The sequence below is a fragment of the Homo sapiens genome, chromosome 1 (assembly GCF_000001405.40).
Source record: "Homo sapiens chromosome 1, GRCh38.p14 Primary Assembly".
Classification (NCBI taxonomy): domain Eukaryota; kingdom Metazoa; phylum Chordata; class Mammalia; order Primates; family Hominidae; genus Homo; species Homo sapiens.
In genome coordinates this window covers 65,253,890-65,271,936 of record NC_000001.11, presented here as the reverse complement: position 1 = coordinate 65,271,936, position 18,047 = coordinate 65,253,890, and the positions used below count along the sequence as shown (strand labels likewise).

Here is an 18,047-nt window from a genome sequence, read left to right as displayed (position 1 = left end):
AGCAAGGTCACTGAAATAAGGTCAACATATAAAATCAATTCTATTTCTTTCTTTTTTTTTTTTTTTGAGATGGAGTCTCGCTCTGTTGCCCAGGCTGGAGTGTACAGTGGTGTGATCTTGGCTCACTGCAATCTCCACCTCCTAGTTCAAGCAATCCTCCCACCACAGCCTCCCGAGTAGCTAGGATTACAGGCACACACCACCACACCCGGCTAATTTTTTTTGTACTTTTAGTAGAGACAGGGTTTCACCATGTTGGCCAGGCTGGTCTCCAACTCCTGACCTCTGGTGTTCCACCTGCCTCCACCTCCGAAAGTGCTAGGATTACAGTCATAAGCCACCGCACCCGGCCTAATCAATTCTATTTCTACATCCCAGGAATAAACAATTAGAAAATGAAATTCTAAAGTGCCACAGAGAGTCAAATATCATATGATCTCACTTGTGTGTGGAATCTAAAAAAGCCAAACTTACAGAATTAGAGAATCAAAAGGTGGTTACTAGAGGCTGGGAGGTGGGGGCATGGGCAGGGAAAGGGGCAATGCTGATCAATAGGCACAAAGTTACAGTTAGAAGAATAAGTTTTGCTGTCCTATTGCACAGCACTGTGACTGGGGTTAATAATAATGTGTTGTATATTTCAAAATTACTAAAAGAGGATTTTAAATGTTCTCATCACAAAGAAATGATAAATATTTGAGGTGATAAATATGCTAATCGGCCTGATTTGATCATTCCAAAATGTAGTAGATTTCTATCAAAACATCACATTGTACCCCATAAATATATACAGTTATCGTCAAGTCAAAAATAAAAATGAAAAAATAATAATGTTTTTTAAGTTAATAAAAAAAAATAAAAAACAAGGTCAAAACCTGAGACTGGAGGGGCCCTCAACAGTTATGCTAGGAAGATTGTCCTGCTGAGAGAATATAAATAAAATGTTTTAAAAAAATTTTGCCAGGCCAAGTGGCTCACACCTGTAATCCCAGCACTTTGGGAGGCCAAAGGTGGCGGATCACTTGAGGTCAGGAGTTGGTGACCAGCCTGGCCAACATGGTGAAACCCTGACTCTACTAAAAATACAAAAATTAGCTGGGTGTGGTGGTGTGCACCTGTAATTCCAGCTACTAGGGAGGCTGAGGCAGGAGAATTGCTTAAACCTGGAAGGTGGACGTTGCAGCGAGCCAAGATCGCACCACTGAACTCCTGCCTGAGTGACAGAGCAAGACTCCATCTCAAAAATAATAATAGTAAAACAAAAAATAAAAATGTAAGTGGCAGTAACAATAGCATAAAAATAATCAACGACCAGTAACATCACTTTTAGAGATTTATAACCCTTATAACCCAGTATATCTGCCCTTTAAAGAGGGTAATTTATACTCAGCTCAATCTCATTGTTGCAGACTGCTCTAATCTTTATTAAAGAAGCCATAAATACCTTATTGAACCTATAGTCTCCAAAAGTTTTAATGTTGGTTCAAATTATTTTAAAACATTCAGGGGTAAAAATCAAGTCATTTTTAAACTCTGAGTAACATATAAAAATATTTTGTATTTTCTTGTTTAGTATCTCAAAATGAAATTTAAAGATGAAATAACCTAACACAAAATTAAACTATGCATATGTATATATATATACATATACGTTTCAACTGTAATGTAAAAGAGAAGTGAAATAAGTTATTTACAATAAAGCAACATGTATTTCAATATGCAAATGCTCAGACGACTATATTAGAAAACATAATTAAGTAGGTAGCTACTTGCACTTGTATATAGATTTTATGATTCAGGTGTGTTGTACTGGTGTCTAAAACACAAGTGGCATTGCTTTGGGTAAGTGATTTCCTGAACAAAATTCAGTATAATCTTCCTTAGATTTACACAGCATTTTTAATCCTGGAAGTTTCAGTGTACAGTGAAACCAATTTATGTTCTAAGCCCAGAAAAGTATAGAAGGTTTTACTACATCTTCAGCAAAACATTTGAAAATTGCACAGGACATGAGCTAATTCATCATTGAATGGAACAGCCCAGAACACCGGAGGGCACTATCATTTCTAGTTTCTGCCAATGGCAGCGCCCCTCAATCATATGACCATCAAATAACATACCTGCAGATTTCCAGTGTGTAGCCCAAAAAGCAATACCAGACCCATTGATTACCACTGGCATAGACCAGTCTCTAATCCCAGCTTAACCACATGCTACCCCTGAAGCTTTGAGAAGTCACTCAGTCATTTACAGATCACCCCAGCTAAAGTATCATTTCACCAACTCACCCAGTCACATGCAGCAGTGACAAAAATCCTTGAAAGAATTTGAGTTTTCTCTAAAAGTATCAAAGTAGTCAAGATGTTTAAGAAAAATCACAACTTTTTAAAAATTTTTTTACACTTATTTTGAATTACAGATTGGAGGATGAACACCACACTATTTTTTAATATTTAGAGCCTAAAAGTCTGAATCTGACCCTGCTCAAACCCAATTAGATTTTGTAATAACTTCCAGTGAAAAGTTATCTCAGGAACCATTGGCATAGACAACTTTTTTTTTTTTTTTTGAGACAGGGTCTCACTCTGTCACCCAAGCTGGAGTGCAGTCTTGCTATCTCGGCTCACTGAAACCTCCGCCTCCCAGGTTCAAGCGATTCTCTTGTCTCAGCCTCCCCAGTAGCTGGGATTACAGGTGCATGCCACCATGCCCGGCTCATTTCTGTATTTTTAGTAGAGAGGGGGTTTCACCATGTTGGCCAGGCTGGTCTTGAATTCCTGACCTCAAGTGATCTGCCACCTCAGCCTCCCAAAGTGTTGGGATCACAGGTTGAGCCACCACGCCCAGTCATGACAACTTTTAAATCCTACTATTAAAATGTTATGTGTAACTTTGTTTGCTAAACAAATGCCATGTTTGCCATTTTAAAATAAAATCTAGAAAAATAACAGAAAAATTGGAATGAGAACTATTTTCTTTGACCTCTTATAGACCAAAAAAAAATTCACCCAAATTTTCAGTCTTCATTCTTATTATTTTGTGCCTCTAAGACCTTGCTGCATAACATACTCAAAGAACTTAGTAAAAAGAAAATTTGGAGCTGAATTTGAAGAGTTAAAATATCTGTTTTCCAAATAAAAACAACCTAAAAAATTAGTCAAAAGCCATCATTTTCTAAGGTTCACATCTCCCTTTTTATATAGGTAAGTTAATTCTAAAAATGTTGACAATTTTATTAAAAACTGTAATTTTACAGAGTACAGGGCTACTTATTTTCAAGTACTTGCCTACCATGTGAATGGTTTTGGAGATAAAAAAAGACCTGATTTTGAATCATGGCTCTGCCATTAACTAGCTATGTATCCCTGTACAAAATTCTTAATCTATTTCTTCAGAATAAAATACCACCTACCTTGCAGTGTTGTGACAATATGTAAAGCACCTCCCAGAGAGCTTTTCACATAACAGTTGTTAATTAAATAGGAGCTATGGTTCTTATTGTTATAATTAGCTGTCATGTTTGCCAATATCTACTTATTAACTCACTCAACTATTTTCTTTTTAGTTGCCTTATACTTAATTTCTTTTTCCTGGCTTGCAAAACATTTTGAGATATGCTAGATCAATGTTACACAATGTCTTTTGTATTTAAAAACCTCACTGAATTGTCCCTAAGATGAACTAAAAAGATGGAAAAGGCAGGCAGGCAGTTCTTAAGGCACAAGTCAACATTTACTGAACCACTCATGTGATGGTAGCTTACAAAAATTCACTTTCTGAACCTGCAACATCCTGGTGATTTCTTTGCCCCATCAACCTCTTATAATTTTACCTGATTCTCTTTTTCAGTCTTTACAAAAAGAATTGACTTCCAAACAATTCATAATATTTTAATAGTTTTGTTGTGGTCCTTTTCAACACAGAGACTCTAATTTTTAGTGTTTTTATGTCTCATATTCAGGACACCAACTGGTAATTTGGGACCCAGGAATGGCTCTCACGGTCTGGTTGCTATGGTCACACCTACACACACACACACACACACACACACCACCTCACACCATACACTTATCTGGTCTCTGTCAACACATACCCATCTCCCAGCAGCCCTAAAGGGATACTTTGCTCTCAAAGAACTAGGCTTGGAAAAGGCCTGGGGGACCTTAGAAATACAGTAATTCATAACCTATTTGGAGTCTTAGAATCCTTTAAAAATCTGAGGAAAACTATTGACTCTCTCTTTCTCTCTCTCTCTGTCTGTATATATATGCATATAAAGCTGCATTTCACAGACTCCTTGAAAACCATTACTGAGCTATGATTTATTTCAGTGTTCCTCAAACTTCTTTGACTGAAACTCACAGGAAAAAAAAAAACCGATGTGATGTCAGAATACGGCTTATACCCACATGCATAAAGATAAATATCTATAACAGAAGTTTCAGGAAACAGTAGTTACCTCTGCTATGTGCAATGATTTCTGACAGTTTCTGTTCTATTTCATCGATCTAAAATGTTGCCTAAGACTCACTAAGTTGCTTTCTCACCACTCACAATCTGAAAAACAGGAATCTAGTCTAATAGCTCTCCATTTTAGCGATAAAGAAACTGAGACCCAAAGAAATAGAGTCCTGTCCTAGGTCACAAATGAGTTATAACTGAACAAGCCAGAGCCTACCAATCTTGACTCCCAACCCAAGGCTCTTCCCAGTACAAAGTAAAACAAAAATTCTAAATACCGGCCAGGCACGGTGGCTCATACCTGTAACTCCAGCACTTTGGGAGGCCGAGGCGGGTGGATCACCTGAGGTCAGGAGTTCGAGACCAGCCTGGCCAAGATGGTGAAACCCCATCTCTACTAAAAATACAAAAATTAACCGGGCGTGGTGGCATGGGCCTGTAATCCCAGCTACTCGGGAGGCTGAGGCAGGAGAATCGCTTGAACCTGGGAGGCAGAGGTTGCAGTGGGCCGAGATCGCACCATTGCACTCCAACCTGGGCGACAGGGCGTGACTCCATCTCAAAAAAAAAAAAAAAAATTCTAAATACCAACTCTCCTTAGAAAAAGGCTGGGGATCTGAGCTTAAAACACACTGATACACTGAGAAACCAGGAGTGTTTCCATTTCAAACAATGTTGAATATTAACCTTAACCTGGGCCTCCAATTCAAGCAGCTTTAATTTTTTTTCTAAATCATGTCCATGGCCTAGCATGACTTGGCAAATAAGCAATTTTTTTTTTCTCTCCAGAAACCCTTTCTCCAACCACTGAAAACAACACAGGAAAATCCAACATTCTTCCTAGAGTTAATTTTAAAATACTTTGATTTCACACACAGGTAATACCTACTCTTAAGATGCTGGCTTAGAAACAGGAGTGAACAGGTCCTCTTCCCCCTTACCAGGCACATGCATAGCTGTTTTCTTCCCCACTAAGGCTGCTTCATTAAAATTTAAACGTCAAAACCACATAGATCAATACGTGGCTGTGAATGATCCAGAGCCTATGAGATGTTAATACAAACACCACCAGCTACCTGGCCCTTTTGAAAGCCTCAATTATGGAAAGTGGGATTGTTTAAGAGCCTTCATTACAGTTTCGTAGATTAAAATACCATTCTCTCCATTGGCATTAGATTGTGAGTGGGGTTTTTTTTTCCTTCTTTTTCTAATGTTGAATATGTATATATCATTGCCCACCACGAGGTGGGAATCCTATAACAAGCCAGAGACGGTGGCTGACTCCCGAGGACTGGAGAAGGCCAAGCCCCGCGGCGCTGCGCGCAGAGAGCTTTGGGGCCTGCGTTGTTGCACGTCTCACCCAAAGAACTTAGCTCCGGCGTGGGGAGGGTCGCTGCGCGAAACCTGCCCAACGGGCTGCGTGCCAGCCCCCACCTGCGCACCCAAGCCCCCGAGCCCAAGGGGCAAGCGCCGGGGCCTCCTTAAAACACAGCGCACTCGAAGCGCAGACTGCTGCGCAGCGGCTCGCACGGAAAGCGGGTGAAAAGAAAGGGGGGCCGGCGAACCCTAAAATTAGCGTTCCGGAAGCAGGGGCCCGGCACCGCCGCGCGGAGACGGCGTCCTCCGCCCGGACGGGCACGCGACTCCGCTGCGCCCTTCCTGGGCACGCGGGCCAGGAGCACGACCAGCGCAATAGGAAGGAAGGGCTCCCCCTGGAAACGGGATCGGGGAACACGTGTAGCCTCCGGAGACCTAGGGGTCCATCGCTCCTCCCCCAACTGCGGCAGAATATTTAAGGAGCCTCCGAATTTAAAACCCCAGAATCCTCCAGAATGCTTGTTGTTGAACTTAAAATTTGGTTGGCTCATTTTTCGGTTAGCCCTTTCCTTTTTTGAGTTTTTATTTAAATTCGTTTCTCTCTTCCCCCATCCCTCTAACAGAATTAGAGTGTTGGGAGGTGAGGGGGAGGTAAGGTGTGGAGGCTGATGGAGTGGGGGTAGTTTACATCCCAGCATTTCTTTGCAAGATAAACAGTTCTGAAGGTCAGCGACGGCTCCCCATGGAGCGCTTCTAAAAAGATTAATGTTCATTAAAGGATTCTCCGTCAGCGTTTGCCTTCAGAACCCAAACTGTTTTAAGTCCCAATTATTTCAGATATTCCAATTCTCATAATGCATTGAAAACCTGTATATTCATTATTAACTATTGTGAACACCCCCAAAATAAAATTATCAAAAATCTGGGAGCTAGTCTAAGGAAATCTATGAAAGCTGTGTTACTCAGCCAAGATTAAGAATGCAAAAATAGGGTTATATTTAGGACTATAAAAATGGAAAGCTGAATGACACAATATTTGGAAACTAGAAGCTAGTCATTTTTTAAAGTCATCATGTTTATTATATAACTAGAATGTTAATATAGGTATGGTAATTTTAAACTAGCCATTAATACAAACTAAATATGTCTGTGGAGTGACATCGCATCCCTAGCATCTTTTAGCCTTTAGCCCTCTCTTAGCCATCTTTCTGCAGTCCGCCCCTTACCTTTATTTTCAGAATCTTTCATTCTCTGCTTCCTCCCTCTGCTGCAAATGAGCAGGAAAGTCCGGCTGATTCTGCAACCCTGACTTTTGATTTGTCATTCACAGTCAGCGGTCTCGGGGGCGAAGTCTCTCAACGGAGGAGCACTCGGGCTATGATAATTGCATGCAAGTCGGTGTGCGGGGTTATAATTTTGCTTATGCTGGAGCGGAAAGGATGGGGATGAAGGCAGACGTAAACACAAATTCCAAAACATGGCATGGAACCGGATCTGGAGCCGAGGCTTGCCTTTCCTTCCCTCAGGATAGGGAACCAACTGTTTAGCGCCTCCTCATCTCTGAATTGAAAGGGGAATGTCTGTGCCATGCACCAGGTTTATTTTCAGATGGTAAGTCAGCTTTGGAGGAGGATTCAGAGCCCTGTACTTTCATTCATTCATTCAACATTTATTTTACCTCTCTGTGGACCAGGCTGTATGCTAAGTACTGGGGATACAACAGTGCACAGGACCAGCCCTCGGTCCTCACGCTGCTCACAGGCTGTTACAGTACAGAGGCATACAGGGCAATATAATGGGCTGTGTCTGCTGCATGGACACAGGTTATTGAACCCATTTCACCCAGGCCTAAGTTGATACTCAAGGAGGCTTTAGTGACTGGTTGTAAGCCATTGAGTGGCAGACTAGGAATATGTATGAGGATGCCAAACCATAACACCCCTCTGTTGGGGAGCAAGGAGGATTCAAGTAAATCTTTCAGTCATTCAATTCAAACTTACTTTGAATCATTCCACAGCTCAGATTCATTCATTAATTCAATCATTTATTCAACACGTGGTTATTTGTGCCAGGCACTATTCCACCTCTTAGGGTTTCAGGTCCCTGCCTTCTTGGTTATTGCACTCTGGTGGGAGGATTCAGACAGGTAATATAGACATATAATAAATGGCAATAAATGCTGTGAAGAAAAATGAAACATGGTAATGAGGTAACAGGGGTGCCATTTTAGGTAGGGTTGCCAAGGGAGGTGCCATTTAATTTGTTTTATGGATAATAGGTAAGAGTCATCACAGTCTCTTCCAAACAGCTTCACTCAGAAATTGTTTTTTAAGTTCTGAACCCTCCCAGTCTCCTCTGCTTCATGCATACTCACTGATGGATGGTGTTTATTCCCCATGATACAGATTAGCAAACTGGTATCCAGAAAGACTAACTGACTCAAATACATAACCTAACTAAATTGGAAGAAGAGCAACAGAAAGGAATACATCTTCCTGTTACTCATCCTCAGAAATTACTGAGTTAAATGCAATATTGATATTAAAAATTTCCTGGACTAGGCATTAAAAGGGTTGAAGACCTGTCTCTACTGTCTCTACCTTTTATTAGCTGCGTAGTGTAGGGCAAATGACAGAACCTCTCTGGCATCAGTTTTCTCATCTGTAAAGTGGGAATAATCATAGCTGTCCTATATATGTACTGGGCTGTTCATATCATCAAAAGGGAGAACAGAATTTTGTAAACAAAACACTAAATAAATGCAGGGTATAATTACCAACTGCTTGGGCACATTTAAGAGGACTAATTGTCAGTGTTCACCTGTTCATTACTTCAACCCAAGAGTCAAACATAGCTATAATGTGAGAGCTTTCATGGCTACTAAGGACTTCTTGTTGCCACAGCTGGAAGATTCCTTGAAAGTTTTGGGAAACTTTAAGTATTTGTTTTTGGTTCCCATCTTTCCTTGGCAGTGGATAATATCTTTCTGCTGTCTTTGACAGCTTAAGACCAATAAGGAAAATCTGCCTTCATTACAACTCCTTACTGGCCACCAAATGCGACATTGGCTAAACCACATCAGAGAAACCGGCATCTTTATCTCCAAGGACCAAGTCCAGGATAGCCAAAATGTGCCCAAGAGGAGCACTTTGGGGGGCTGAGAAGGTGAGGGAGTAGGTGGTGAGAAGCCATCATTCATGCACTCTTTTATTCAATAATATTCATGGTGCCAGGCACTGCTATGAACACTAGGAATGACACGGTGCTGAACAAAACATTCTCTGTCCTCAGGAGCCTGTGGCCTCAGGTCAAGAGGCTTCCACTAGATATGCCAATTTACCAAAGTAGGCAAAGAAATGCCAAAGCGTGGATTTGAATAGTAGGGCAAGAGCTCTAAAGCAGAAGAGGACTGGGAGAGGTGGCTGACGCCTGTAATCCCAGCACTTTAGGAGGCCAAGGTGGTAGGATCGCTTGAGGCCAGGAGTTCAAAACCAGCCTGGTCAACATAGTGAGACCCTGTCTCTATGAAAATTTTTTTTTTTAGTTAGCTGGGCATGGTGGCATGAGCCTGTGGTCCAGCTACTTGGGAGGCTGAGATGGGAGGATGCTTGAGTCTGGTAGGTCAAGGCTGCAGTGAGCCATGGGCAATAGAGCAAGAAAGACCCTGGGTGACAGACCAAGACCCTGCCTCAAAAAATAAATAAAGAGAATGGATTCAAACATGGGCCCTGCCATGTACCAGCCCCTGGAATATAAGCTGAGACAAGTTGCTGCGCCTCTCTTAAGTTTCCATTTCCTGATCTGCAGGATGGAGGTAATAATGGTACCCACCTTCCACAGCTTGGTGAGGCTCAAACAAGTTAATAGGTTTAAGGTTCATAACACAAAGCCTGACACATCAAGTAAGGGCTCCATAAATGCTGTAAGATGAGTAGTATTACCTTGTAACTGGGTCAAGTTTATTCCCCTAAGCTTCAGTTTCCTCATAAAATACAGAAATTAATAACTAGTTTGTAGGATTATTGTGAGAATTACATATGAAGAAGAATATGAAGTCTTTGGCATAAAGGAATAGCCAATCACCAACCACCCTCACTCCGGCCCTTTTTAAAATTTTTTTATTTTTAATTTTTGTGGGTACATAGTAGGTGTATATATTTATGAGGTATATGAGAAATGTTGATACAGGCATGCAATGTATAATAATCACATCATGGAATATGGAGTATCCATCCCCTCAAGCATTTATCCTTTGTGTTACAAACAATCCAATTATACTCTTTCAGTTATTTTAACATGTACAATTAAATTATTATTGACTCTAGTCACCTTGTTGTGCTATCAAGTACTAGGTCTTATTCATTCTTTCTAACTATTCCAGGCCCTTTTTAATCAAGAAGGCTCCCTAGACCAAAATTTTAAAAAGACCAATGCTAGGAGTAGAAAAGAAGTGGGAGAAGGGAAGGAAAACACCCATTTATATTGCAAAAGGAATAATGTTTTCAAAAGTGTAGTCATTTCTAGGGGTATCTGCATTGTACCAAACATTATATTTTGAAAAGTTTCAAACATATCAAAAAGTTGAAAGAATTGTACAGTGGGCCCCATATCCAAGTATATTTGGGTATATTTGCTTCATCACATGTGTCTGTTTCTCTATCCAACTTTAATTGATCTTTTTTCTCCTAAAGTTGAAAGAGGTTTGAAGGCCTCATCAAATAAAAAGAGGCTTTATTTTCCCTCCTGACACCATATTTCCAGAAGCACAGGCCTCCTGATTCTGCGGCCGTTCCAAGCAGAGCTGGGTGAACTCTCAGAAGTCTTGTCCTGTCACACAGTAAATCTCAAGGCCACATCCAGTTAAGGACAAGGATGGATTCTAGAGCTTTCCACAACAAGGCAATGTCTCTGTCAGACCCCAAGCTTCAGATAAACTGGTACTGAGGATGATTAGGAACAGCCGCTAATGGAAAAGATGCTCTATCTCAAAAACTGGGTTTAGGAAAAGCTTCAGGCAGGCTCCACTGGCCACTAAGTCCCTTGACAACCCTGCACATCCTTGTCTTGTTAGATGCCACTCTGAGTCACTAAACCAGTGACTCATGCTCAGCAAGCAAGGCCATCTTGAGAGCTAAACTGAAGGGAATTTTCAAGAACAACGAGTGAAACCCTGAATTGAAAGGGAATAAGGCTTTTTATTGTCTGAGCAAAAAAACAAAAATGAAAGGAAAAAAACACTGCTGTCATACTGTGGATTAAACTTTCCCAGCTGCAAATTTTACTCTGAGGAAAAACTGGGCACCAAAAAAAAAAGCTTTTACACTCCCTTGGAACTTTTGAGGCATTTTAATTCTTGATTAGTTGATAGGTAAGCAGAGACCCAGAATATATATTCCAAATTAGGCAGATGAAATGATCTTTCAATAACTTGTCTAGAGCTTCTGCTAGCTTAGTCATTCATTCCCAAAGAGTGGCTTCACCTGCAACACCACATTTGGTCTTTCTGCATCCAGCCAAGCCTCTGTCTGGCTTGCTCAGAGCACCCAAATGGCCAGAAAAGAGGTGAGAAGGAAAAAGAAAATGTGCTTACTGCGGGGAGGGGATAGATGTTTAGGATTAGGGCTAGCCACAGAAGAGGGCAGCATGGCTTATATGGAGTACCTACTATATGCCAGGCTATTTTCTTATCATCATCATCATCATCCATTTTTTGAGAACTTATTACTTGGCAAGCATTGTCTTTAATGCAAGGACTCACAGCAGACCTCCCGGGTTTGAATCCCAACTTACTAGTTGTATAACTTTGGAAATGTTACTTAACCTCTCTCTGCTTCAGTTTTTCTTATGTGTAAAATGAAAGCTGTAAAACAGGTTTATTGTAAGAATAAAATAAAATCACATACTCTTTAAGACAGTGGCTGGCACATAGTGTGACAAAAGCAATGCACACATTAACTCTTGCCATTTGTTTTGTCAGATGAGAAAAATGAGGCAGAGAGGCAAGGAGACTTGCCAAAGGAGACACACAGCTAAACACAGCAGAGTCCAGAATCGTCATGTCATTTATTTCTCACACAGTCCTGTAAAGGAAATGGGAAGGAAGGAGAGTGGCTTCACCTGCTACACCACACTCGGTCTTCCTTTTAGTGGTGAGAGGTTGGAAACCCAAGACGGTCTAGTAATTTACATGTCACAAGTTGGCAAGTAGGAGAGTTGAGATTTAAACCCACATTTGCTGGCTGTAAAACCCTTGCTCATCCTACTAAGTCAGTGGTTCTCAACCTTTAGCATGTGTCAGAATTACTGCAGAGTTTATTAAAACACATTTCCAGGTTCCAGCCTCCTATCCCTCCCCATCCTCCCACCCCTCAGTTTGTGATCTGGTAGCTCTGAGATGGGGGCCTAGAATTTGCATTTCTAACAAGGTCCTGAGTGATGCTGATGCTGCTGCTCTCATGCTGCTGGTCTGGAGACCAACCTTGGAGAAGCACAGCTCTCTACAATCATGCACCTGTATGCAGAACAGGTGGTAGGAGAAGGGCCAGAGCCACAGACCCAAAGATTGTGGGTCAGTGAGGTTTTCCCACTCTGACAAAGTGTTGGTTACTTCCCAGAGCCTGGCTAACAAACCTTGTATTTACACAGCCCTTTCATTTTTATGGTCTCATTTGATCTCTCTAATATCCTTAGGAATAGGCTGGGTAGGGATCATTACATCCATTCAATGTGGCTTATTTTTAGGGACATATGGCTAGACAATGGCAGTGAGAGAATAAACCACTGATCGACGTGACAGAAATTCTGTCCTCTTTCTTCTCCAAGTAAATTGTTCTGCAAAATACTATCTACTGATGGAAACTGACTCTAGTTCCAACCTGTGTCTTCCCAGAGAATACCACAGCTCAGGAAAGGGCTCCTCAACCACCACAGGGTTTAGAGGAGGGAATTTCTGGTGGCAGGAACTCAAGGCCAGTTATCTACCATAATTCAAGGGCTAGAGAAGTCTACTGCTCATAAAATGCTTTTGTCATTTGCTCCCTTTTCTGTAACCTACGGACTTTGATATTTGAGTAAAATATGGTTCTCTGGAATGGACGGAAGCATTTGGAGGGTTAATTTCAACTCAGCACAGCTTGTTCATATTCCCATTTAGAACTACTGGCATGATTAAGTACATTTTTAAAAGTTGTTTAGACCTCTAAACCAACAAATAATTCATATCCAGAATATTTAAAGAGTTCCTAAAATGGATAGAAAAAAAAAAAACCCAAGTTAAAGAAATGAGAAAGACATCAATAGGCCTTTCACAAAGGTTCACACAAGAATGGCCAATATTCATGTGAAAAGATACTCAGCTTCATTATTCATCAAGAAAATTCAATATAAAACAACATGGAATATCATTTCATACCCATCAAATTAGCAAGCATTTAAAAGTCTGACCATATTCAGTAAGGAATCGGGGAGCTTACACACTGTTGGCAGAAACTGAATTAGCACAAATGTACAAAGGTCAACTTGGCAATATCTCTCAAAATCAAAACTATATATATATATATACACTTTGATGCAGTAATTGTCCTTCTAGATATTTATGCTATATTTTTAGTGACAAATGTTCACAGTGTAAATTTCAGAGTCATTCTCTTTGGAAATATATATAAATGAAAGGAATCTTTCATTCCAGACATATTTATTGAATGTCTGCTATGTTCAGGACACAGTGTTAGCATGAAAAGATGACAGGAGTCCCTAGAAGCTATGTTCCTTCTCCCCTGCAGCCTCCTGATGAAAAAGAAGAAGGTGGTAGAAAGATGGATGCTGCTGCAGAAGACCTTCTGGTTGACCCAGAAGGGTTAACTTCCTCAAAGAAGCCTCCAGCTGTGGTTGCTTCCCAGAGCACACTGAACTTTTAAACATATTTTGAGTGTGATCATATGGTTGAAATCTAGACTAAGCATTAATCTAGACTAATAGTAGTCTGGACTCTTATGAAAATCTAGACTATTATTATTCTATACTAACAATAGTATACTAATAGTAGTCCAGATTTTCAGCCATATTAATATTATGGTTTGCTAATAATTTCTAGACTTTTCTAGGTTTTCTAGACTATTTTCTAAGAATAGTCTAGATTTTCAACCATATTAGGTTTTGTTTTATTAATATTAATACATACAATAGTAAACCTAATATTAATTTAAAAATAACCAGCCCTTTGTGAACCTCTATGTACCAGAAATGCATTTAATCATCACAGTTACATGACATAGGAATTGTCATCCTCATTTTTCAGATAATATATAACTCCATTTTTGAAAGACTAAGGATGCTGTCTGATATCACACAGTTTATTAATGTGCCATTTATTAGTGGCAGATTTAAATCATAGCCTGTGTGATGTCAAAGTGTATGATTCTAGATGCCCAAAGTGATGTTAACATCATCATAAGAAATTCAGGTTAACTTTAAAAAATCAAATAAAATTGAGATATAGATTTATTGCATAATATTTATTCGTTTTACTTCCCTCTTCCATGAGTATAGCTATTGAAACATGTTTTTTCATGTGTGGAGGGAGATGTGGCAGAAAGCATGTTGTATAGGTAGGCAGGCCTGAGTCTGACACTCACCAGTCACATGACCTCCAGCATATCACTTAGTGCCGCTTGTTTCACCTTCCCTTATATATAAAATGGGGGAAATACATAACATCTGCCCTCTCTCCTTCCAGGAGTATTGTCAAGATCTAAACAAAATCCTGTAGTTGAACTATTCTATAAGATGTCAAGTATCATGTAACATTAGATATTATAATGGCTTTATCCCCAGGGCTTATGGGGGAAGGGGAAGATAGATAGTAGAGGAATGTAGTGAGCAGCCAAGATCCTATCTAAGAAAAGAGAGGTGTGGGATGGCAATGAGCCCTGGGAAGCTGTGAGTAAACGCTAGGTCAGGAACGCAGAAGCGGAGATGGTTGTATAGGCACTAAAGATCTGGTTTTAAAAATTATAAAACTAATGCAGGAACAGAAAACCAAACACCAGTTGTTCTCACTTATAAGTGGGAGCTGAACAATGAGAACACAAGGACACAGGGAGGGAACCAACACACAATGGGGCCCGTGGTGGTGAGGGCAGGGGAGGGAGGGCATCAGGAAAAATAGCTAATGCATGCTGGGCTTAATACCTAAGTGATGGGCTGATAGGTGCAGCAAACCACCAAGGCACACCTTTACCTATGTAACAAACCTGAACATCCTACATGTGTATCCCGGAACTTTAAAGATTTTAAAAATTAAAATAAAAATTATAAAACTAGAACACTTATTCTAATCCAAGTTACTACAGTGGCAATATTCATCTATTCCTCTTTTGTAAGCATTCACACAACATCTGGAATAACACTATGCATGTAATTATCACTCAAGGAATACTTGTTGCAATCATCGATCTCATTCAAGCTCATGATAAAAAGTGGTCAGCCTTCGGCCCTATTAAGTTTCAGCAATAGTTCTTTTTGTTTGTTTGTCTGAGACAGAATCTCACTCTGTGGCCCAGGCTGGAGTGCAGTGGTGCAATCTCAGCTCACTGCAGCCTCTGCCTCTTGGGTTCAAGCGATTCTCCTGCCTCAGCCTCCCAGGTAGCTGGAACTACAGGTGTATGCCACCACGCCCAGCTAATTTTTGTATTTTTAGTAGAGACGGGGTTTCACCACCTTGGCCAGGCTGGGCTCGAACTCCTGACCTTAAGTGATCCGTCCGCCTGGCCTCCCAAAGTGCTGGGATTACAGGGGTGAGCCACTGCGCCCGGCCTCAGCAATAGTTCTTGATGACAGTATGGAAAGAATTTTGTTGGTGCACTGACTTTTAAAAAGTAGGAACACATACTTAAAAGCCGGCAAGATGACAATGACAAGCTGCAGAGTCTCCCTAACAACCACCAATAGAAAAGCTTGTTTCCAATGCAATAAATAAATATTTGAAAGATAATTATTGCTGGTCATTTTCAAATTTATTTTTATAATGCTTAATAGGTGCTAACACTTTATAACTACTAACTCGTTTAATTCATTAATTTATTTAATCCTCAAAACACCGGGGGTGGGTGAGGGGGACTATATCGATGGCAGGGTCCTGGTGCAATCTGGCTCTGCCCTGCATCCGGTCGGCCATTTTAGAAATAAGGCATGTCAACCCCCCAGAGGAAGGATCCTCAGATGATGGAAACAGACAAAAAGGACAAGACAAGACACATTCATAAGCAGTATCTACACAGTACCAAGCCCTGCACTTAGCCTCGTGGGGGATGCAAAGATGAAATGGATGAGAATGTGGAATCTTTAATACCAGATGAACAGTGACAAACGCTCTACAGGTGACGAAATGCTAAAGGAGGGGTTACAGGTGGCAGGAACCACAGAGATTTCAGCGAGGAGACTGCATTTGTGCTAGTCTTGGCAGGAGGGTAGGAATCCGGCAGGCTGAGATGCGAGCATGGACACTGCAGACAGAGAAAAGCCGGGAGCCCCCAGATCAGGTCACTTCCCTGCTTAGCACACTTCAGTGTTTTCCCAGCTCACGTAGAATAAAATCCGAACTCCTCTTCATGTTCTGCCCAGACCTCGATCCAGGCCCTGCATCCCTCTCTTTCCCCTTGCTCAATTCAGGCACTCTGGGAACCTTTCCACTTGCTATTCTCTATTACTCGGCTTCACGCTAGAGTAACTCCTAGTCAGTCCTCGGGTCTCCGCTGACTTGCAATGCCTCGGAGAGGCCTTCCCAGTCCGCCTGCCATGGAAGCTCGGGGACCTGCCTTTTTTCCTCTGTCAGCAGACTGATTCCCTCTAAGCGCACATAGCAATGTGTACCGGGCTTTCTCTGTTTTGCGTGTGTAATGTCTGTCTTCCTCTCTAGAAGTAGTTCCAAGATCCGGGCTTTGCCCATCGTGTTCTCCGGCCAAGGCAGATGGAGGGGCTCGATAAAAATTGTGGAATGAATGAATGGAGTGAGTCAGTGATTGGCTGTGAGTTGAGGCCCTGGCGAGGACAGGACTGAGTGTGCTTGGAAATAGTTTATCGTGGCGAGAGCTTCGAAATCACCGCAGGCAGGTAGAGAGGAGGTGGGTACAGGGCGGGAGGACCTTGAAGGGAGCCTCGGGTTCTGATTCATTCCCCCAGTAGGCACTGCATTGCAGGCGCCAGGCCAGGTGCTGGGGGCCGGGGACAAGCTAACCTCAGTGAGGCTGTGTCGCCGCGCCACCGTGGCTTCCCTGTGTCCAGAGCCAAAGCAACGAGCAGGGGCTAGAGGAAAGGAGACTGTGCCGACATCAGCCCCTGCGCTTCCCCAGCGGTCCCGGTACCCGCGACCGAGGGTCGGGTTCGGGCGTCGCCTAGGCATCCAGGCTCCCAGGGCCGGGAACGCGACCCGAGAGACCGCCGGGGACGGCCCCGCCGCCGCTGCGCCCCTGCCTCAGGGTAACAGGTCCCGACCGGCCGCGCCCACACTCACCCTGCGCCGCCTGGCGAGCTGAGCGTGGCCTCCACAGCCGCCGGGTCGCCTTCCACGGCCGCCGCAAGGAAAACAGCTTCCGGCTCTTCTGGCCTCCCTTCTCAGTGGCGCCCATCGGTGCGCCGCGCCCTCCCCCGCCGCGGTCGCCCGAGCCGAGCGCCACCGCTCGCCGCCGCCGCCGCGCGTCTGCCAGGTGCCGGGCCGCTGCTGGGAGATGCGCGCCGGGGGCGGAGCTTGGGGCCGGGAGCCGTGGCTGGCGCCGACAGGGGAGGCTGCCCGGCTCCGCCCACACGGCGGCGCCTGGCGCCCGAGGCGTGCGGGTGCGCGCGGGCCCGCGCCGCTCACTCGGGGGGCACCGTTAGCACCCTTTATTAACACAGGAGTCCTAGGGGGCTCTCACCCGTTTTATCTCCCTGTTACAAACCATACACTCCACACTCCGAGAGGGTAAGGCATCTGCCCACAATCACACAGCGCTAAAGAAATTCCAGAGCCCTAGACTCTGACGATGTTTACTCACACCGTGCTACCGCCTCAAAATGAAACATCACGTTAGAACGTGGTTTTAGTTCTGACAGATATTCCTGTTTTCCTAATACAAGAGATTACTAGTCACCCACATGATTTTTTAAGAACTTGTTCTATGTCCAGTTACTTTTACACACATTTCATGAAACCTCATTGCAACCCCGTGGTGTGGGAGGCGTTTCCCATTTTCCAGATGAGGAAACTGAGATGGCAGAAGTGAGGCTCCCTCACC

The 18,047-nt window shown here is 42.6% G+C and overlaps 1 protein-coding gene across 2 annotated transcripts in view, besides 2 other annotated features; it reads right to left on the bottom strand.

The window, feature by feature from the left end:
- The window catches only part of DNAJC6 (DnaJ heat shock protein family (Hsp40) member C6), a 151,123-nt gene extending 143,935 nt beyond the window's left edge, over positions 1-7,188 (bottom strand). For both annotated transcript variants that reach the window (NM_001256865.2, NM_014787.4), the window contains exon 1: positions 7,005-7,188. Coding sequence is in view for 1 of the 2 variants with exons in the window: in NM_014787.4 (NP_055602.1) it covers positions 7,005-7,026 (22 nt within the window). In the remaining variant the exon portion in view is untranslated. The remainder of the gene's footprint in view (positions 1-7,004) is intronic.
- Positions 17,188-17,257: a silencer, noted in NCBI's record as "silent region_969". NCBI's record gives its function as "represses an Ori minimal core promoter by ATAC-STARR-seq in GM12878 lymphoblastoid cells {active_cell/tissue: GM12878}" and the evidence as "EXISTENCE:reporter gene assay evidence [ECO:0000049][PMID:35858748]".
- Positions 17,348-17,847: a silencer, noted in NCBI's record as "silent region_968". NCBI's record gives its function as "represses an Ori minimal core promoter by ATAC-STARR-seq in GM12878 lymphoblastoid cells {active_cell/tissue: GM12878}" and the evidence as "EXISTENCE:reporter gene assay evidence [ECO:0000049][PMID:35858748]".